Source organism: Homo sapiens, chromosome 14 (genome assembly GCF_000001405.40).
Source record: "Homo sapiens chromosome 14, GRCh38.p14 Primary Assembly".
NCBI lineage: Eukaryota > Metazoa > Chordata > Mammalia > Primates > Hominidae > Homo > Homo sapiens.
The window spans coordinates 36,572,649-36,594,772 of NC_000014.9; the positions used below are offsets into that span (position 1 = coordinate 36,572,649).

The 22,124-nt window shown below is 45.3% G+C and overlaps 1 protein-coding gene and 2 pseudogenes across 1 annotated transcript, besides 2 other annotated features; all 3 read right to left on the reverse strand.

Moving 5' to 3' along the window:
- Positions 4,755-5,387, reverse strand: RPL29P3 (ribosomal protein L29 pseudogene 3; annotated as a pseudogene).
- On the reverse strand, positions 7,356-9,966 carry NKX2-8 (NK2 homeobox 8). Its single transcript, NM_014360.4, has 2 exons — positions 9,585-9,966; positions 7,356-8,816 (listed from the first exon to the last, which is right to left on the reverse strand). Exons 1-2 carry the CDS (start codon positions 9,739-9,741, stop codon positions 8,254-8,256), a joined length of 720 nt encoding a protein of 239 aa, NP_055175.2. The 5' UTR covers positions 9,742-9,966; the 3' UTR covers positions 7,356-8,253.
- Positions 7,736-8,546: an enhancer, noted in NCBI's record as "H3K4me1 hESC enhancer chr14:37049589-37050399 (GRCh37/hg19 assembly coordinates)". NCBI's record gives its function as "activates a minimal SCP1, AML or CMV promoter by ChIP-STARR-seq in naive H9 embryonic stem cells {active_cell/tissue: H9 hESC(naive)}" and the evidence as "EXISTENCE:reporter gene assay evidence [ECO:0000049][PMID:30033119]".
- Positions 8,547-9,357: an enhancer, noted in NCBI's record as "H3K4me1 hESC enhancer chr14:37050400-37051210 (GRCh37/hg19 assembly coordinates)". NCBI's record gives its function as "activates a minimal SCP1, AML or CMV promoter by ChIP-STARR-seq in naive and primed H9 embryonic stem cells {active_cell/tissue: H9 hESC(naive and primed)}" and the evidence as "EXISTENCE:reporter gene assay evidence [ECO:0000049][PMID:30033119]".
- Positions 21,260-21,499, reverse strand: RN7SKP257 (RN7SK pseudogene 257; annotated as a pseudogene).

A 22,124-nucleotide genomic window follows, 5' to 3' on the forward strand; every position in this document is an offset into this window, starting at 1 on the left:
TGTCAGCTTACTGCAATCTCCACCTCCCAGGTTCACACCATTCTCCTGCCTCAGCCTCCCGAGTAGCTGGGATTACAGGTGCCCACCACCACACCTGGCTAATTTTTTTGTATTTTTAGTAGAGATAGGGTTTCAACATGTTGGCCAGGATGGTCTCGATCTCCTGACCTCATGATCTGCCCGCTTCGACCTCCCAAAGTGCTGGGATTACAGGCGTGAACCACTGCACCCAGCCCTTTTGCCCATTTTATAATTGGGTTTCTTTTAAGCTATTGAGATGTGTGAGTTATTTATATATTTGGGATATTGATCCCTTATCACATATAGAGTGTGCAAATATTTTCTCCCATCCTGTAGGTTGCCTTTGCACTTTGTTGTTTGCTTCCTTTGCTTTGCAAACAATGAGCTATGATCCCATCTTTGCAGAAATTGCTTTCTTGCCCTCTATCAAGTCTGAGTAAGTAAAATCAGAAAATTACTTATCTGCCTGTGGCTTCACAGCATCATTAATTGCTAAGAAGTTAGAATTCTAGGTCCTCCTTTGTAGCTGCAGATCAGTTGACTAAGATATCATATGGTGACAATGGTGGGAGAAAGTTAATGCTGCACAAATTGCAATGATGCCTTTTCAGAAGGATTGAAGGCAACTAAACATTCTGAAATCAGTTTAGAATGAATCATTCACATATGTTCTAAGGCTTACTTGGCACAAGCTTTAGGTAGTGGTGCTTGTGAGGTAGAGTTTCCCTGAAAACCTTATAGCCCTGCCCAAACCCACATATCCTGCCAAGTGAGAAACAAGCAGCCAATTCCTTCTGTCTATACCCTTATGACCTTCTCCATAGTCTAGTTTTCACCTTGTTAATGGCAGAAATGGTTGTGGTTTCCAATACATGATTCTTGGAAGAGGGGAACAATCAGAGGCTGCAGAGAAGGGAAAGCAAGGATAAAGGGGGAATTGTTCTTTCCACCACGTCAATATGGTCTCAGTAACTTCTCTTTGTGGTTATAGTTTACAATGATGCAAATGAGATTTCCTCCCTTACGTTTTAATAGTTTACCTGGGTCTCCTATTCATTACACTACTATTCTACTAATGAGAGAGCAAATGTCATTATGAAAACAGATAGATTTAAGAGCATAGCTTATTTACACATTTCTGTGCTTTCCATATTATCTTACAAAGAAAATATTTGTCCTATATGGGTTTGATAAGTGGGATTATAAATCAGAGTTTTTCTTTCTTATTAAAAGAACCCAACATTTCCAAAATCTGTTTCATACCCACTTATATGTGTAGTACATTCATGCATAGTATATTTATATAATTAAAATGCAATTGTGGAATTAGGTCCTCCCATTGTTGCGCATACCTGTGCTATTTGAATATATATTCACTTTTCTCTTAATCAGTGCCAAGCTCAGTGAGGAGAGGGAGGATTCTTGTAGTGTCTCCTGAACATCAAAATTCTGGCAGATCTATTTTATTTTGTTAGTCCTCTCTGCTCCCATGCAGCACCACATTGGTAAATTGACTAGCCTTATTTAAGATAATGCTCCATCCACAAATGAGAAATAAGAAAATCCTCCCCTTTCTCGACATTTTAACTTGAGTTAAAAATGAAACCTTCTCTCAGTGAATCAGGAGCACAACTGAACACTTGGTCAGATAGATGACTAAATCTACGAGTGTGATGAGGCAGTAAAAACAGTGCCCCAGGAAAGCAGTTCTATCTTTACTCACCATACCAGGTTTCTTTGTCTTTTCCTGATAATTTGGGTTTCTTACTCTGCATTTCAATTTTGTTGTAAAAATGCGTTCTTGCCATTGTACTGATGCTTATCTGATTGCCACTGACCCTGACATGTTATGATGAATTGGGGTTGGCTCTAGTTGAGAATTTACCTACCAAGGGATCATTTAAACCAAAGCTGATAACTTCTTTAGGGTTGGAGGAATAGCTACTTAATACACAATCCTTCACCAAAGCCGGAGGAGTAAGATGTAACAGAAGGAAGATATCTCAGGTGAGAGATTCAAGGACTCTTTTCACGATTTTTTTCTGGACACTTTTGTCTCTACTTTAATTTGCAAACAGACTCCATTCCCTTCCTAGTGAATTCTGCCAAATAGCCTTTCCAGTCCCTGGGAAAAGAGAGAGAGAGAGAGAGAGAGAGAGAGAGAGAGAGAGAGAATGCAGTTGGTATTGGGAGTAGAGAAAAGGGACAGTCCAATTCAGAGCTTTTAGCTAGGGTAAAGCATTTGAAAACCTGTTGACTCATAAAGGACCACCCAGTCAGAATACAGGAGGAAATAAAGCATGACCAAAGCCCCCTCAGAGGTTTCTTCCATAGCACCCTACTGATAGAAGCTCTGTGAAACTATAGCACCTTTTGAAACTACATGACTTCAGTAAAGACCTAGAAAGTTTTTATTAGTCCATAGGGCAGGTTATTGAAGAGAAATGATCTCTACCTCTAATATGTGATAATGTTACTTTCCTGGATAAATAATAAAACTCTCCACTGGACATGGTTGGAAAAAATGAGAATCTCTGTGCTTGAGAATTTGAGAGAGATATGGAAAAAATCTGGGGTTGAAGGAGAACTCGACTGTTTCATAGCCTAAGCAATTCTTCCTGGTTTTTCTCTAAAGTTAAGTCACCACTCTATGGCTCAGCATCAAAGGAATACTGCTCAATTCTTTGTTGGACTTACAGACTGAGTAACATGAGTGGTGGGTACAAACGAGAAAGGGAAATACCATACACCTTTAATTATGGGGGGAAATGGAGGTGGAGGGAAATAAACAGGCACAGAATTGGAATTCTGAAAATAATTAAGATACTATTTAGTAAACCCTCTCCCACAGCATGGCTTGGAAAAATGATAAGTGACCCAAAGGGATACAATTTCTCATGCAAATTTTGAATACTAACTGATGGAATCACAGTCACAGAAATCACCTTGCCCTGGGGTAGGGACAGTACTTTCTCGGCATTCAGAAAACTCTCTTGACTATTGTTCATGTTTACAAATAACCTGCTTAGGCTGGTTAACTGATACACCCAGAAAAGATAAACATGTTTAACAAAATATTCAGCCATGCTAAGCCCACAACTATCCTGCCTGGGCAGTTTATTCGTGAGTCAAAAATGTTTTAAAGGTAGTGAAGAGAGAGAGAGAGAAAGAGACAAATTAATGGTGTCAACAAGGCAAGAGAATAATAAATGTCTAAATACCATTGTCAGAAGGGAAAGTATAGGTTAACCTGGGCTCAAATAACTTCCTTCTAACCCATCAGGAGCACATTATTTAAGATACTGAAGTGCTAAATTGGTCAGATAAGAGACGTGCTGAGATGTAAGATCCATTGAACAATGAGGAAAGAAAATTGAAGTGAAAATTGCAATCTCCGCCTGCAAGAAACTTAAGTGAGATGAAGTGAAAATGTTTACAATGGAAGAAGAGAGAGAAAATGTGAAGAGGATGATGTTTAATAATAAGGATAAAACTGGAGACCTAGGGAGGAAAAAGATGGCTGGGAAGAGGGTTAGGAAAGCCAAAGCCATCAAGCTCCACAGGGACCTGGGCCTGGGATTGGGGAAGAGCTTAGGGGAGCTTATCAGAGTCAGCAGCGACTCTACCCAACACTGAGTGGACAACTGGTGTCAAGGCAGCAGCAGCACATGTTTTTCTGGAAGAAGAATGGTGGAATGATAGTCACAGGAGAATGTTGCAAGCTGCAGACAAGAGCTCTGTTTCATTGACAGCTGGACAAGAATGCTCGCAAAGACTTAGCAGAAACACAGAAGCTGTGTCCAAAAACTGGAAGTCTGGTAGACAGGGGGAGAGACAAAGACAGAGAGACATAGAGATGCTAAAGAACATGTCTTTAGAGATGCATCTGTGAGGAAGGTAACCAGAACTGTCAGCCGGGAGAAATAAAACAAAGAAGGGGAAACAATTCCCACCATGTGGCCAGAGGTGTAAGATCTGGAACTAGACGGCTTGGGTTCAGATCCTCTATGTCACTTACCAGCCGTATGACCCTGGACAAGTCTCTTCTAACCTTTTTGGCCTTCAATTTTCCCACTTGTGTAGTGGGAGTAGTAGTATCTGGTGGAGTTGTGAAAATTGAATGAGTTAATATGAGGTAAAGGTCTTAGAATATTGCCTGATACACAGAAAACATCAGTACATACTAGCAACTACTGTGATATGTGGCCAGCCTCTGTGAGTGGCCCTGAGCTGTGTAGAGTACTTTTAAGTGTGTTTTTTCATCCTTTCAGACTATCCATAAGAGAGCTTATAAGGGTTGTGTGATTATATATATATATCAGGAAGCTGAGACAACTTTGGGATTCTTGTCAGTGGGAGGCATCTCTGGCCCCAGAGTGACTCCAAGGCTCCGCTGGGCTCCCAGAGCTGCCGGCGTTCCAAATACCAAAAATTCAACCCTGTGGACCATGACAGGGCAGAAGGAGTTTCTCCGGAGATGAGCCTGGGACCCTTTGAAAAGTGCCTGGGGACCTGAAGAGCACCGGCGAACTTGTAACCCCTAGTTAAGCCACATTTTTATATGTATATAATCATTACCTCCAGATTACAATTGTTCTGAAGGGCAGCTTGTAGGGTGACTAAATATGAGTTAAGCTGAGGACAACAGTAACATTCCTTGAGGTTTATAACTGCTTTGGGCAAGCCACTTAGCCCCACCCATTGAGCCTCAGTTTCTTTCTTTCTTTTTTTTTTCCTGCCTCAGTTTTACGTGTACAAATAGCACAGGAGGACCCCAGCCCCATGCAGACGGCAGCCTGGGGGTGGGGGAGTCACACCAGTCCTGTCCTCATGGACATGTCCCCATGTCCAGATAGATAGACAGAGATATCTATCTGAAGCCTTTATAGGGGCCTGGGCACCTTTTGGAGCCTGAGCTGGAACTGAAGCGGGAGCTGCAGCCTGGGCCTTGGTTTGATCCTTTGCCTTGGCCTTTGGCTGGCACAGCTTGAGCCCCTTGGCAATGCGGGCACGGGCATGCTTCCCAAGTTTGGGGTGGGCAATGTAGGCAAGTCATTTGAGCTTGCAGGTGACACCCTTCGGAATCTTGGGGTTAACCTCCTTGGCCTTTACGAGGGCCTTGATAGCCTCGGCACATACACTCACAGCCTTGGCATTGCTGGCCTGCATCTTCTTTAGGCTCTTCTTGTTGTGCTCTTGGCAAAGCACATGTTCCTCAGGAACTTAGGGTCCATTCCCTTAAGAGATTTGTATCTTTGTGATTGGGGTTTCTTGACACTATTTCTGTGCCATTTTCGGGACTGGTTGTGTGTGGTGTGGTTCTTGGACTTGGCCATGTCTGCACCTTAAGCCGCAGGTCCCCAAGCCGCAGTTTCTTATCTATAAAATGGGAGTATTATGTATACAGTGTAAGGTTTCTGTGAGATCAACTGTGAAAGTACCTTTAAAAATGCCTGCAACACAGTACGTTTCAATAAGTTTGCTGAGTGTGAATCTGCCTTGTGATGTTGGTGATGGGTGATGGGTTTGAAGTACTTTCATCCAGGATGGGAGATCTTAACTGTTCTCACAGTGGCTGGTAGAGAGGCCTTGGGTTCAGCTTTTGTCAGAAATTGTAAGAATTCATCTTTAGACCACAAAGGAGATTGACATTTATCTTTTCCAGCTTATCTTGTGAACAACAAAAAAAATCCCCCAAAAATCTGACAGCCTAGGTCTCTGAAATGGATTGGTGGTGATGAGAGTGCTAGTTAAACTTTCCCCTAAGGTTTTTTCCTCTTTAAAGGAAGGACCTTATCAGCCTAAAGGAAAAGGAGAGAAAGGAAGTGGGCCACAGTTTATACCTTATGGCTGCCAGTGCTTCTGTCACAGGAAACTGCTGCCCTCCTCTTGCCCAGTACACAAGCTGGCTCCTGAGTGGGCAACTTGCTGGGGCTCTGACCACTCCACTGGCAAGCAGCTGAATGTGGCTTCTTGGTTAGACCTCTGCTGACCATTTAGGACCAGGATGAATTTGACTAAGGCTGTGCTCCCACAAAGAGCCTCCTGGAAAGAGGCCCTCTCTACAGTCTAAATCCCTTTGTCCTGTGGGCCTCCTATGTAAGGCCTTCTCCACTGCACACTCCAAGACCTACTTTCTCTGGAGCTCTAGAAAAAGTCAAGGAATTGGACAGGCAGTGATTTTTCAATTTCTCCCTAAGAATATTCTGGTGGTCTTTGTCACCACCAATAGTAGAAAACAAGCTACCAATCTTTACCCCCCTTCTTGGAGAAAATACCCCTATGCAGGAAGAGCATGGAAAATCCAAGCACCCAGCCAGATGACCAGAGGCAGTCCCAACACTGGCCTTCTTCAGAAATCATTACCTCCTTTTCTTTCACATCTGCTGTGCCAGAGCTAACTGGGAAGCCCCCTGGCAGGTCCCAATATCTGTCTTACAATGTTCAAGCTCCCTCCCCAGCAATCATTTATTAGAAAGGGGTTTTATGATACAAATTTGATAATCTCCCATGCACACTGGCACTGTTCTAATTGAAGTTGTAAGCCCATAAAATTCAAGCCCTTTGTCTTCCTGAAGGCCACAAGGTTTAAAAAGATACTATTGTCCTGCCTAACACCCACTACATTGTCACCAGGGACTGATTAAACAGAGTCCTGAATCCAAACAGTGCGGATTTTGTCTAGGTCCTTTTCAGGCCTGACAATGCCCTTTTCAGTTCCCAAGACAAAAAGAGGTTTAAGGATCGAGATTCTTCTAAGATAACCGCATCCATATGGAAGGCAAGGTGGCCGGCAGCTGAGACCCAAACACCCCACTCCCTTCCCCCTCTCCCCTTCTCTCTTTCTCTCTCCACCCCCCAAAATCCCAGGTGATAACACTGCCTCAGCCACCCTTCATCCTCCCCTTCTTCCTCCTTGGACAAGAAAGCTAGAGCCCCTAACAGGCCCATGACTCCTCCTTAGAGACCTCCATAAGGGCCCTTGGCTCCCTTCCCCGCACCTGATGCCCCAACTGCTCTCCTCTGGCGCATCTCCCAGCAGCGGGTGCCTGGGAGCGAGGTCGTCGCTTCTGTGAGAAAGTGACTGCTTGCACAAGAGGCCCTAGCGGGGCAGTTACAAATCCAAGGGGTGCTAGTGTGCACTGGCCGGGGTGGACCTGCCCCAATCTCGGATTCCCAAGGCTCCCCCAGGCGGCCCTCCCTCAGCTGGGAGTCGCGTCCTCCCGGATCTGCCCAGAGGAAAAGCCCTGTGCCGGTCGTTCCCCCGACCCTTTGATGTCTTCACGTCCTCCTCCCCACCCTGGCCAGGTACTGCGCCATGAGGAGACAGGAAATCACAGCTAACTTAGGCACTTGCAGGCTTAAATAGGGGTTACAAATTCCCCGGTGCTCTTCAGGTCCCCAGGCACTTTTCAAAGGGTCCCCGAGCACTTGGCTCCTGCACTCTGGAAACAGCTTGCGGCCCGGCCTGGGCTGCTCCGGTGCAGCGCGCCCCGCACCTGGCCTCGCCGGCTCATCTCCGGAGAAACTCCTTCTGCCCTGTCGTGGTCCACAGGGTTGACTTTTCGGTATTCGAAACGCCAGCAGCTCTGGGAGCCCAGCGGAGAGTCGGAGTCACTCTGGGGCCAGTGACGCCTCCCGCTGACAAGAATCCCAAAGTTGCCTCAGCTTCCTCCTCTCCTTTTCTTCCCGCGCCCAACCCTGACATCACCACCCCTCCATCCCCCAGGTATCTTCCTAAAGCCGTGTCGGGACTGCAACCCGCCCTTCGATCCAGCTGGGGCCGGGCCCCACTTAGCCAGTCAAGGGGCGAGCCAGCGATGCGAACACCGGTCTGGGGGGCACGACTCCCGCCTACGTTCCCCGCAGGCGCGCAGGGGACCCAACCCCACACATTTTATTCTCGAACTACGAGGAAAAATACTCTATTTTTTAAAAAAATAACTTGCTTCCTATACAAATCGCTATTTAAAAATATACAAATAAGGCCCAAGCATAAAATCTAACTCTGGGGCTGGCGGTGGAGGGAAGGTGAGGGAGGGGGCTCTGGCACACGTCCCTCGTGTGTGCTTGCGCGACGGCTGATGAGGGCGCGCCAGGGACCCTGGCGCCCAAGGAGATGGGGCTGCAGGGAGGCGGACGGAGAGCGTTCCAGGCGTTCGGCTCCGGCCCTGCTCCAATCGCAGAGCGCGCTCCAAAGTCGAGGGTAGCCCCAGGTGCCGCCCTGCGGCCTCACCAGTTCCAGGAGACCAGGGCGGGGGATGCTAAGTGCTGGTAGGCGGGGAAGAGGCCAAGCGCCGAGCCGGGACCGAAGGCAGGGTAGCCCGGCAGAGGGCAGGCGGCGGCTGGAGGGGCGCCGCACTTCTCCTGGGCCGCGGCGGTTCCCACCTCGCCACCGCCGCCGCCGCCGCACGGCTGCCCGTCGCGAACAAGCACCGGCACCACCACGCGACGCAGCAGGCCGGGCGCGGCGTGCAGCTCGGCGGATGCTGCCAGGTCAGGCGACTCCGCCGCCCCTGGAGCGCGAGCGCGCTTCAGCTTGTAGCGATGATTCTGGAACCAGATCTTGACCTGCGTGGGCGTGAGGCGAAGCAGGCTCGCCAGCTGCTCGCGCTCGGGCGCAGACAGGTACCGCTGCTGCCGGAAGCGCCGCTCCAACTCCAGCGTCTGCGCCTTGGAGAATAGCACCCGCCGCTTCTTCCTTTTCTCGGCGTCCGAGCCCGGAGACGCGGGCCTAGCGGACGGCCGCTGCGACGAGTCTGGCGGGCTGGTCTCCAGGCTGCTCTCGTCCGAGGCTAGGGACAGCAAAGGAGACACGGGTGGGTGAGACGCCGGACCCTACGAGGGCCTGCTGCCCTTCTGGCGCGGGCGTGGAGGCACTGGCCAGAGGGCACGCCCACTAGCCCGAGACTTTCGGGATGAGGCCATTTCCTGAGTCCACATCTGGACATCCACCTCTCCGAATGCGGTGACCTCATTCATACCACAGCGGTCATCAGCGGGCCTGAGATCGTGCCCCGAAAAAACCCACCCCGGGGCCCTCTTAACATGTCCGCACCGGTAGTTGCGCTGGCCGACCAGTTTATCACAAGCTGGGTCACCAGCGCCGGCCTCCTCCAGGTCGACTGCACTGCAGTGTGCCGAGGTTTGCGGAGCCCTGAGTGGGAACGGGGTGGGGGTAAACTCGCCAACACTGGCCATCCCAGACGGAGGCCTGGAGATCGTGGCCGTGTTTTCAGGCATGGAGAGGGGGCGGGGGGTGGGGTGGGGGCGGCAGGTGGCGGCGCGTTTTAAATTTCAATTATTCCGACCTCTAGAAATCGTCAGACACAGAAACCCCAAATCTCGGAGCACCAGTGCCAGGCAGGGATCTGCTCTTAGGATGTGCCGACCGGGATGAATGCGTTAGGGGTTCGAGGACAGGGCTCCCGTTTCCAAGACTGAGGAAATCTAGACTCTGGGCTGGGATTTCGGCTTTCCGGCCCCTCGTGGGCTGGGCCCTTGATTCTGCTGCCCCACGCCTCCTACCTCCCACCCCGCACCGCAATCCACCACGCACTTACAAGGGTAGTGGCCGCGCTCCGAATCCAGCCAGGCGGCGCAGGGGTCGGGCTGGGGGGCGCGTGGTTCTGGCTCCCGCCTCGGCAGGTGTTGCGCGTCCTGCTCGGGTAAATCTAGAAGGCTGCGCACGGTGAAGCTCAGGCGTCCAGAGGTGGCCATGGCCGAGGAGGGGAAGGAGGCGGGGGCAGGGCAGGCTGGGAACGGAGGGGCGGCCGGGACGCCGCTCCTACGGATGGGCGTGGGAGGCGCTCGCCATGCGCTGGCAGCCGGGATATTAGCGCATTTACAGCGGAATCTCTGTTTATATAAACAGCTCTTCCCACCCAGGCCGCTTTGAAAGCCGAGGTCCGGGTCTCCAGGGTGTTAAGTACCTGAATGAGCACTGGACCAGAGCCGGGGCGAGCCCGGAAGGTGCCACCTCCGCCCCCGCCCCGCCCCGCACCCCGCCCCGCACCCCGCCCCTTGGCGCCCAGTTACCTCCCAGAGGCTGCAGGAAGCAGCATTTGGCATTAGCGATTCTGTCTGATTAGCCCAAAGTGGGGACAGATAATGGGGATTGTTACCAGTGAATAACATCTTGGGTGGCGAGCGGTGGCCACCACCCGCCTGACCCAGCCCCAGCTTCCTCCTCCTCCTCCTGGGCTGACTTGAGGCCAGGCCCCGCGGGAGCGCCGGGAAGGGTGGGGGTGGCAGGGGTGGGTTTATTAGCACCCAGGAATTTATTCCCTGTTTGCTTTATTCTTCGAGCTTGTTTGCTGGAGTGGTAGTTTCCCGCAATTATCCAGAAAGTGATTTACAAAGCGGCGTTAAACTCTGGCGCGCTCCCTTTCTCTTTTTGGTTGGGCCCCTCTAAGATTCAGGATGACAAGTTTCAGGAGGGCGTAAAGATTAGCCTGGCCCTGCCAGCATTGGCCCAGGGGTTTCAACGGCCGCTGGGAGCCTCGGATCACACCATACATCCCCCTAACAGCCTCAGAGGTGCTGAGGAAGGGCTGGGACAACATTCGGAGCCCCAGCTCCACGTCTCCACAGGCCGGCAAAACAGAAGAGGCTTGTAGCCAAGCTACTTAGGTCTACAGTGCCTGTCTCTTTGGCCCAGCTTCGCCCGGCCGCTGCCGATCTCGGAGCTCGGAGGCCGAGCTCCACAAATTTGGGTCCAGGCCCGCTTTAGAGCCCCTGGGCGGGGGCGCTTCTCAGGGCATCCTGTGAGGGCTTTGAGGCCTCCTTGGAGTCGCCAGATGAACTGGTGCCGCCTGTGCGCCTTGGCCCCATAGCCTCAACGGCACTCTCACTGCCTGGGCTTTGGTCTTTGCCCAGGAGCCTGCCCATGGCCTACGCTCCCCGCTCGCAGCATGGCAGACCCTGACGAGGCTGCCCGCCTTGGTCCGGGAATGGACCGATCGGGAGAATTAGGACAGGGCCTACCCGGCAGAAAATACCACCGGCCATGGGTTTCTCTGGGATCTTCTAGTTTCCACAGTTCCACCCTAGAAAATGATCAATGTAGGAGGCGCAGGGAACAGGCCGCCGTGGATACATTTTGTTGGGCCATGGCCTAGCTCTGGCCGCGCTTCAATCTACAGAGGAACGCCCTCTCAGAGGCCTCTCCTACTGAAGCTAGTAGTTTGGATATTTAGTTGCTAAATTGTAGCGAAGGGCTCTGTACTTGGGTGGCTGCACCAGAAGTCCTGGCTCCTCCCGGGCTGAACTCGAACCTGGCTCGGATGCGGCGGCGGCGGCCCTGTCAAGCCCCGCGCACCCTCCCCAGCAGCCTCCCTATCAAGCGTGCCCGAGGTGCCCGGAGCTGCACCGCGCGCTGGGTGGTCGGGCGGAGGCAACCCCAATACAGGCCAACTGCTAGGCCGCGGACAAAGGGGAAATGGAGCTCGACGCCCCGGACCTGTTGGAAGCATTTGTTCCAGTCAAGATTTTGCATTTGTTCAGTCCGGAATAATGCATGATTGACGTCTGCTCACAATGCGCTTTAACGCGCCGGGATAAATCGGAGCTTGTCCGGTGTTGTCATGGTTTTCAATGGGGTTCAATGGGATTGGGAGCACGATCGACTCTGCTGGCCGTCTTTCCGCGGCCCTGGCAATAGATTTATTAGTTATGTCTTTTTAAATAAGATTAAACTGAAATGACTTGGCTGTCCTCTCTGCAGACGGGGCCGGGGCGGGAGCCTGGAGTGGGCAGGGGACAGCGGAGTCTGGAAACCCGCCGCGCACCGCTCCTCAGCTCCCGAGCCCCCAGCGTCTAGAGAGTGGGCAGGTCGCAGACTGGCTCCAGGCCTCGTGGACTTATCTCTGGCCAGAGCCCGAGGCCTGGCAATCTCTGCCAGCCCACCTCCCTAGTGAGAAGCTGAGGCACTGACAAAGACCGTCCTGGGGAAGCAAGTGTTAAGACTGATTCCCAAATTCGGTCTTGAACTATGAGATTGTGTAAGGTAGAAGGAGCTCTGGCCTGGAAATCGGTTCGCATCCTCGCTCTGCCCCTACCTATCTCTAACCACCTCATTTCTCTAAGCTTCCTTCCTTCCTTTTTTTTTTTAAAATTAATCTGATACAGAAGATAGTAGGAGAATAGATTTGGTAATTTCTAAGGACCCTACCAGTTTTATGATTCTGTATCTCAGGAATTTTTCTAAACCTATCTTCATTGTAGCATTTACCAGCCGGATATTTAGACTCCCTCCTCCCTCAGGTTCTCGAATTCTTAGCCCCAGGACTGACTCCGTCTCCAGGATGTTCTAGGAGAGGAGGTGTCATCTTTTGAGTTTCCCAAGGATCCTCCACAGGAGTAGGGTGGGGTGGATAACAATTTAGGGAAGAGAACCAAGTCAGGAGAAGCAAAAGAAGAGTCTTTCCTTGAGTGACTGACCTCTCTTAGCCTTTTAATCTATTTAACATCCTAAGCCCACACTGACGTGTAGAAATAAGTAAATGGCGCTCTTCAGCTCTTAAGAGCTCTTCAGCATCAAATATTTGCTTTTACTCTTAGTGTTTGGCTTCCAAAGCAGAGATACAGGCCCCATCTAGCACTTGTGCTCTGGGAAGGACTTTGCTCTGGGATTCGCTCCAAATATTACTTCTAGCTTCATGTTCACGGGCTTCGGAAACAGTGTTCCTGGGCCTTGGTCTGCATTTTAGATGTCCCATGGAAACCCTGTAGCTCCTGGTTCTAGAAAGGGCTGCAGCTTACCTGCTTCATCTTGGATTCCCTCCTCCTCTGCCATAAGTGCCTCTGCCATAGGCCAACCTTCCTCTCAGCTCTGCTCCGCGGATTTAGCTGAATTATCTCTGAGAGCTAGAACCGGGGGACTCCAAGAAATTGTTCAATATAAACTGTGCCTTCTGAAGAAATGCAGGAAAGCCAGAATTAGAGAAAGGTACTTTCTATATTGCCTTTTCACATCAGATAAATTCACAGACATGGGAGGGGAAAATTATTTTGATATTGGGTCAATAGGAAAAGACAGTCAAGCTAATCTTAAGTTTTTTACACATTGGAGATATATACGAATTGCCTCCAATTCCCAAGAGATTCTTAGAATCACAAGTAAGCATTTAACTGGACATTATTTCCAGATTTTCATATATTATTTGGTGTTCTGGACAATTGAACTTCTTTGCAACTTAACATACCATGTGAATATTATTATTTAATTAGCTAAGTAGTTGTTTTCTTGTAATTGGATGTAGTATATCTCAATTCCAGTAAGAGTTTTTAATGTTTAGGCACCTGTAATATATGAGTATATTTAAGCTGTCCACAATAATCATCCTTTCAGAAGTATTATCCAGAGATGATTATCACTACCACGTGCTTAAGATTTTAAGACTAGAAAATTCTGAAATAAAACTAAAGCATCTTGATTTTGAAAAAAATGATTGTGTCTATATCTTGCATTCCGTTTTTAAATCCTTCCATTTTGGTTAAGTGTTTCACAAAATCCTGCAAATCTATACAGTATTGAAGAGAGGCAACACTGCAAATTCCCCTTGATAGATGGAGGGCCCTCAACTGCCAGGACATTTTTCTTTGCCTCATAGCAACTGCTCCCCCCTCTTTATCACTGTTGTGGTTAAAATAGCAAAAGGAAAATGAAAATGGGGTTCTGACACTTCCAAGAAGAAGTGGATGATCTTGATTGGTCATAGGATGTAAGGAATAGGCATCATTTAAAATCAGATCTCTTTGCCTTTCTTTCTAAAAACAAGTAAACATTTCCCTTCTAATGGCTAATAATCAATTGCTTCACAGTAGTCCAAGCTTGGCTGTGATTCTTTCTTAGTTATATCGATGATATATACACACAGGACAAGGAACAAACAGCAATTATTTTCAGGCTGGAAATTTAGTCTATTTTTGAAATGGCTTTAGATTTTATTGTTTAATGCCAAATGACAAGATTTGAATGATCCTACCTTCAGTCTCTTAAAATAATGACTTTACATTGACTTTGTTACTGTTCTTGATCTCTAGAGGGAAAGCTTTTCTTTCCTAATATGTTTCTCTAGTTATTTAAGTATGTACATGAAAAAATATATAGAAGTAAAATGGTTCAATTAATTGAAAAATAAACTTATTTTATTAAATATCCATCCTTACCATTTGCTAAAAAGCCAGCAAATAACTGTTTAAATTTTAGTTTATTAAATATTCTAGTCTTCCTTATGCCTTACAATGGTATAATAAGGATAGCTGTTATGGCATGATATGTAAGTTAGCAGAATAAAAATAGTAACACACCTTGGAGGAGGGGTGTCAGATCTTATTTGTCCAGAGCTGAACCTCTTATTTTTGTCTAAGCTTTTTTTTAAAGTACCATGTTATACTCCTTTGCTCAACTGATATAGATGTAGTTTCTATAACACAGAATTCTTATTGATGTTTACATAATAAAGTTCCAGGCCCTAAATCATATTTAATGCTACATGCAGACACTGACAGGGTAGATTGACCCCAGGAACATATTCGATGATCTCAGCCCCAGTATCTCACATAGGCCTACCCATAGTGCGTGCTTATAACTAACCATCAACACTTCAGTTCAAGCCAGTTATTATTTTTTAAATTGCCCAAGCATTATAATGGGGTCTTTTAAAATATACCTTTACTTTGTTCTTAGATCATCTCTGGAATTCTAAAAGAATCCCATCATTAAAGTGAGGTATTATTTCTGTCTTACTTGACAGAAATTTAAACAAAACACTAAACCAATCATTCTGGAGAAGTATTTGTTAATATTCCGTGAAGACAGGGATCCCAGTCTTTCAAAGGGCCAAAGAATCAGATGTTCAATTCTCTTATCGATGTCGACAATAGTAGTAATAAAAATATCACTTCATATTTTACACATTTGAGAATGTTTACAACGTATATTCACACTTAGTCTCAGTCACAAGAGATTATCTGGAAGATGGAAAACTTAAAGAGGGACTTAAAGGCGAGATAGACTGAGATATCCCTAGAATTGAAGAAATCAGTGGGGAGGATGAAGAGGACCTAAATAAGAGAAAGAGAGTCCATTGTAATAGAAGGTATTAGAAAAGAAAGAGTAAAAAGTGAAAGAGAAAGACAGCATGTGCTAGCTTAGAAGCTACAGGTTCAATTTGATCTCATCAACTCAAAGAGGATAAGCATGGATGGAAAAGTTCCAGTTGAGAGTAGCTTTTATATTCTTTCCCAAAGTCTTTATAATTCTAAAAATTACGACAATAGATAAGCTTTAGTTTTTAAAACACTTCAAATTTTTCTAGATCCTATCTAGTTTACTCTTAATTTTCCCTTGGAAAAATCTTTTCCCCTCTTCCAAGAGGTGGCACAAATACACAACAGAAGCAAGAAATGACTGCTTGTGGGAATTTCCCCACAAAAAGAGTAAAAGAACTATATATGTTTACTGCAGCCTCTGGAAATCCCTTAACCAGCAAAGGTGGCTGTCTTTGTATTCTTGATTAAATGGGTATTTGCACTGAAGTCACATACCACACAAAGGAAACAAAACAAAATAAAAATGTCCTCCGTGTTCTGTTTTTCAATCATTTGTGTGAAGGAGGTTCCTGGCCTTTATCACTGTCAGTGAAAAGTTCTTCATTGGCAGGAGACATTCCACTCACCCTGCTTCTTGTGCACAGGGAGCTTACCATGGAAACTACTTCTGGATCCATCAGACAAATATATAAACGACAAAGCTCCACGCTGGGCATTTTAGGTTTAGCGACAGGATATGAAGAAGGGCGTTTAGAATTTCTTGAGAAATTTATTGTTCTATTTGCCTTGCTCTGAATCTTAAAACCCATAAATTGAACTTGTTTAAGTTAGGAAACAACTAAGAAATGACTTTATCTAAGGAAATTCTTTCTGGCACAAAAATATATATGCCATGTTTAACACAACTTAAGTATAGTAAAACTGTGCTTTAGGTAGATTATTTTTAAATGATAGCTTCAGTATCCCCAAGATAATAAATTCATCCTAATACATGTTTGTATTTTTTAATCGGGTATGGCCTTTAATTAAGTGAGACAAACAAACAAACAAAAAGCCCCATAATTGTTTCTATGCTGACCACATTCCTTTTGTTAACAAGCTCCATCCTAAAGTGTCCTTGGCTTATTCTTAAAATGTAACATTTTGCTTTGTAACACAAACCTGAGGAAACAAGATATCATCTCAGAAAACTTTCATTGCATTTTTTGGATTCCACGTTTTGTCAAGCTCTCATTTGATTTATAACCAACCCCAGGTTACTTCCCCACGGTTTCCAGCTAGTCTGTTTCCAGCTTTCCTCTGCTCGTGGTCCACATGAACTCACCGTGAAGACCATCTGTGCTTGACACATCCACCCATGAGCAGCGTGTTTCCAGTGCTCATTTTCATTAGCAGCTCCTCACGTCAAGTCAGTTTACATAAACTCGACTGATATATTCTTGGATGGCTATGCCATCAGGATGTGCACATTTTTATACATAATGAAAACACAGTTTTTTTTCTTGGGCACTGGGAGTAAGGATATGTTCAGTCAGTTTGTAGTATGAGAAAGAAATAGATGGTCACAGATTCTATTGTAGTTGCTTCTTTAGGTTTGGCTACTTTAAAACCAAAACAAAACCTTCCTTTTAAAAATTTTTCTTACACGAAAGGACTGGGCTATAAGGCCGATTTAGACGGGGAAAATCAAAAGTATAAATATGTACCTAAAGTTAGACATTCTATTTCTTACGTATTATTAAAATGATTTTATAATGATAAATTTTGTGAAAGCTCAGATGCCAGAATGCAGGGGTTATCCAAGATCATTAGCAGGTCATCCCTGGTGAATTTAACCTTCTGGTTTTTTCTGTAATAAAAATAAAAAACTACTCAAGTTCCATGAATTATTTTAGTCATCTCTTTTATAGAACCATTAGGAAAAGTACATGAATATCTCCTTTTATGAATTACACTGTTTTTCTGTTATTGAAATTTTCTATTATTCAAATCCTAGGGAAGTCGGAGTGAGATCCTGATTCTCCAGGCAGCTGATTGATCACAAGAGCATCCCTAAGGGGTAGCATGGGGATGGGGATGAAGGGAGAAACCTACAAGTGTCTCTAACTGAATCTGAGGTAGTTTGCACTGAAGGGAGGTGGGTGGGACAGGGTGAAGGGAAGGAGGAAGGGAGGAGAAAGTGAGAGGGTGAGTGCTTGTCTCAGCTTAGGGATTCCCCATCTCCAGCCAGCCAGGGCTTTTACCAGTTGGAGGATGGTAAAGGGAAGGCAAGTGGCAGGGAGTCAGTTTCATCACCTCTGGAGTACCACACCACCAAGTGTAGAGGAGAAAGGGCTTGGTGGTTTGTTCAGATGCCAATTAAGGGACCCGAAGGCCTGTACATTTTAAAAGTCCATGTAGGGAACAAAGTCTGATATGTAGGGATCCTGTTGTGATTTGTTTTTTTGTTTGGTTGTGTGTGTGTGTGTGTGTGTGTGTGTGTGTGTGTGTATGTGATTTTGGGGGTTTTTGTTTTGTTTTGTTTTTCCAGCATCTCAGTGACTAGCAGTGTGGCTTTATCTGGTCTAAGTTGTATTTGTTTCCAAACAGCTTCATCTGTTACAATGCTAATTGGGCAGCACAGAAACACTTTGCAAGTCGAATTTTTTTAAAAGTTAACTTACCCCAGCAATGAACACAGATTGAAAATCAGTTAAAAGCCAGTGAGAACAAATGTCTCTTAAATCGAGGATGGAACAAAGGGAAGGTGGGGGCACATCCCTTAATGTCAATAGGCAGAAAGCTGCACGTGCACAATGGGCATGGGAGGGACCACCCAAGGTGACTCGTGTCAGTTCTGGAGACCGACAGAGACCTGGAGCCTGGGGGCCAGGCTAGCCACCCAGAGTTCTGCTCAGGAGGGAGCCAAGGTGGTGGGGAATGGTCATATTCTTGTTCCAAGCTACGCTGTATCCACAGCCAATTTTCTTCTTCCAAGTATGACCAAAATGTCAGGAGGTCTGCACTCCGGCTGCTGTGGCCAGCGATCACACTCTTGGTGGATCTGGAAGGCTGTTCATTGGAGTGGCTAATCACTAACTAGAGTCATGGAATTATGCAAAATGTACAACCCCCTCCACCCCCCACCACAAGACTGCCCACACACCTCACTTTATTGTCAGTAGCATGCAGGTCTCTCAAGGGGCAGAATTTTGAGAAAATTATAATCCACAAATATATGGTAAGTAACTCAGGAGCACCAGGCACTAAGCTAGTACTGAGGCTGATCTAGTCAAGTATAGTTAATAGTCCATAACAAGCAACCTGATTTTTCTTTCCAACATGCACCACATTTGGGGATCAAATAGAACCAGATCTGGGTTTGCCATCTGGCTCTCCCAATAGTGCCTAAATGACCTTGATCAAGTTTTGTAATTTCTTTGAGCCAGGGTTTCCTCATGTATAAATGGAAATAAAAATTCATACAGGGATTATGAGGATTAATGAGATATTTGTTTTGGTTGCTTGGCATAGTGCTTGCCCACAGTTAGTAGGTACTCAAGTGTGGCAATTGTTGCTGTAATAATAATGTATCTTGGGAGAAGTGAGATGCTTATGGAGAAGCTGAGTTTTACCCCCATATAACCAACTTGGAGCTGTCCTATACTAACTTTAGGATTATCAGTGACAGAGCTGTAGAGAACTTTATCTAGTTCTACCCCTTCCTTTCACAGAAGAAACGGAGGCACAGAGGGAGGTTGGGTGACTTGCCCAGCATCTCACAGAGCCTGGCTTGGAGCCCAGATTTTCCTAATGTAGGGTTCTTCTTACTTCAGCATACCCTGCATCATGAGTCCTTGAATAGCCTTTCTTCTCCTAACAGAGTAAGGGGAAAGCTGCCTATAGAAAAGGTGTCTTTAAACTCAGCAGCATTACTCAGACACTCCAGTCTCAGATTTTGGCCTCAGGCCTACTTTGCTCTCCTGGCTCTCAAATCTCTGCTGGCAATGCAAAGGCTCTCATCTCACTTTAATGGTAGGATAGAGACTCCCAAGCCCTAATGTTTTCATTTCTGGGTGGCTCTGTTGCTGCTTCAGGTTTTTTTCCCCTGGAGTCTCTGTGCTTCAGGATTCATTCTTTCTAGCATGTGAGTTCCTGAAGTAGCATTTGAATCCTCTCAATTCAGCCAGAGCATCTTGTAGTAAAAGTTCTCTCTCGTTAGCACGTGTGAAACACCACATAAGAACAGAATCAGACGCATTGGAAACAAATGCACTTACCTGGAAAGGACCAGAAACAGGCAAATGTTGACTGCTTTAGAAAGGCAAAGGAAAATGCTTTGAGCTTTTTTTTTTTTTTTTTTTTAAGGTATAATTCTTCGCCTACTGAGAAAATTAGAGAAAAGGGAAAAGAGAATGGCAAATTAAAGGAAAGCTGTGTCACATCATTGTCTTCCTGGATTTACCTGGAAGACAATGTGAATGTGGTGGGTGGGGGACAGGCTCCTGCATCCCTCATCTGTGCCAGCCCTACAGTGGCTGGAGAGTCCCCATTCTGCAGAGAGAAGCTAGCTGGCTCCCAGTCTGTCCTCAAAATCAAGGTCATATTATTTTGTTTTCCAAGTTCCTTTAGCTCTTACAGTCAAAATCATCTGATTTTCCTCTTAATTGCCTTCTGAGCATTTCAAATGTGCTAATTCCATCTTCCTAATTAGACTGTAAGCCTCTCCAGGATAGGCACTGTGTGCTCTGTATTTCTTCTGTATTCTTGAAAGAAAAACTTGATTTTTGGGGGGTTAACACAGAATACATTGGTAAATATGTGACAAATGGGCTTTTTGAGTGTAAAAATGCCTCATTAGAAGGGACATGTTTCTTCTTTGCCATAGTGCATCTAATCAGATAAAGGTATGGACTGGGATTAACTTCCCACCCAAGCGAAGTGGTATTAAAGCATTTCCCGCCAGAGGTATTGTGGAATGCCATGGGCAAGGGGTGTGTTGAAAGAGATCACCCTTTATTTGAAAGAAATGGGAGTCCTTCTGGTCTCAGATCAAGTTAAAAGGGATTTTGCTGTTTATACTCCGAAGTTCTTTTCCCTTGATCTGTATAAGACACAATAGATGATAACAGCTGATTGAGAATAGTTAGTCTAGTGTATAAATATGTAAACATGGGTAAGTATGTATTTAGACAATTTAAAAGTGTGTCTCATTTACCCAATTATAAACAGCTGTCTGAGAGCAATTACGATTTATCATGTAAATGCTTATTTGCATAATTCAAAATATGAATATTATTTGCTTCATAAAGACTGTAAATAAAAGGCAACCCGAACTTTCTCATGCTTAGAGTTTTATGCTAAGTTTTTGCCATACAGAGAAAAAGAGCGTTTTGTTGAAAGCAGTATTTAATTTTGATAGTTCTAGCAGGTCCAAATAATCACTAATTTAATAAGAAAAGAGCAAGACTTTGAAAGGTGGTTGGCTGAGAAATAATAAAAGAGGTCATACTACTCTGCTGCTTTTACTCCTGAAAATTTTCTGTGTAAAGCAATTCTGCTGACGAATTGTTTTACAACTGCTTTCACTGAATGCAAATGTTTAATGGTGAATTCACTTGCATATTTTATGTACTACAATTTGATATACACATAATTCTTCAATAATATATCATTATTTTTTAATTGTATAATTACCAAGTGAGTATGCTTCCAAGTGTATTAAGGAACAACTCTCCTTAATATATAACTATTCTACATTTATGAAAGCAAGTTATAAAATGTGGACATCAAAACTTCCATTCAGGTTTACCTAATATATTAATTTTCCAAGGGCTGTCATAACCAATTACTACAAACTTAGTGGCTTAAAACAACAAAAAATGTATTCTCTTACAGTTCTGGAGGCTAAAAGTCTGAAATCAAGATGTCGGCAGGGCTCTAGAGAAGAATCTTGTCTTGCTGCTTTGTAGTTTCTAGTGGTTGCTGGCAATCCTTGGTATTCTTAGCATGAAGCTGCCTCATTCCCATCTCTGCCTCCATTGTTCACATGGCCTTCCTCTGTGTGTGTTTGTGTCTCTGTATGGCCTCTCCTTGGATTTAGGGCCCACCCTAATCCAGTATGACATTATCCAAACTAATTACATCTTCAAAGAACCTATTTTCAAATAAGGTCAACATTCACAGGTACTGGAGGTTAGTACTTGAGAGCTCGTTTAGAGGTTCTAGCAGGGGAGTGCAGCTAGTCATAAACCCTTGACTGAAGACAGGTCCTCCTCTATTGGGTATGGTCCTCCTCTTCCACTGAGTGCACAGCTTCAGGAGGGACACACATGGAACAGTGAGGGAGGAAAGGGACACCCGCCTAGCCAGCCAGATCAGCCAAATCCACCCTAGTGATCAATGGGGTGACAGCTGTCACAGCCAGATTGCCCTCATATCCGGTTAGTACTTGAATATATATTTTGGGGGGACACAGTTCATCACACTACACCCAGTGAGGACTAATATGCAAAGTACGGTTCCTAACTACTAAAGGATTCTGAAATATTGTCTGAATTGCCATTCCCCTAAGAGTAATTTGTATTTTGCATGGTTTTTATATTATAGACAGAATATTATATTACATAATTTTAAAAATTGAGAATTCCTTTGTAATAAAGGTATATATAATATTATCATATGGTATATTAAAGAAATATTTATTCAATTTCCATTATAGGAAAACAATGTGAAGGGGATTCTCTCTTAACCAGACTATCCATTCTTAACCAGAGCACCTCATTCTTCCATTATTTTTGACAACAAAAAGTTCATGATCTTTCCTTGATATTAGTGCTTTTCTTCAAGGATCTGTTGCTATTTTTGGTATACTAATTGTGGACAAGCCTTCCCAGGTGGATTCAATCTTTCTCTGCAGCTCTTCCTTGAGGTTAGGGGTCAATTCCTGACTCCTTTATACATTTTTTTTCATGTTTTCAGAAAAGGAACTACTGTATGTTACCATGGTAAACATTTTATAAAAGGTAGCTCATTCAGACCTCATAACCTTGGGAGTTATGTTTTAT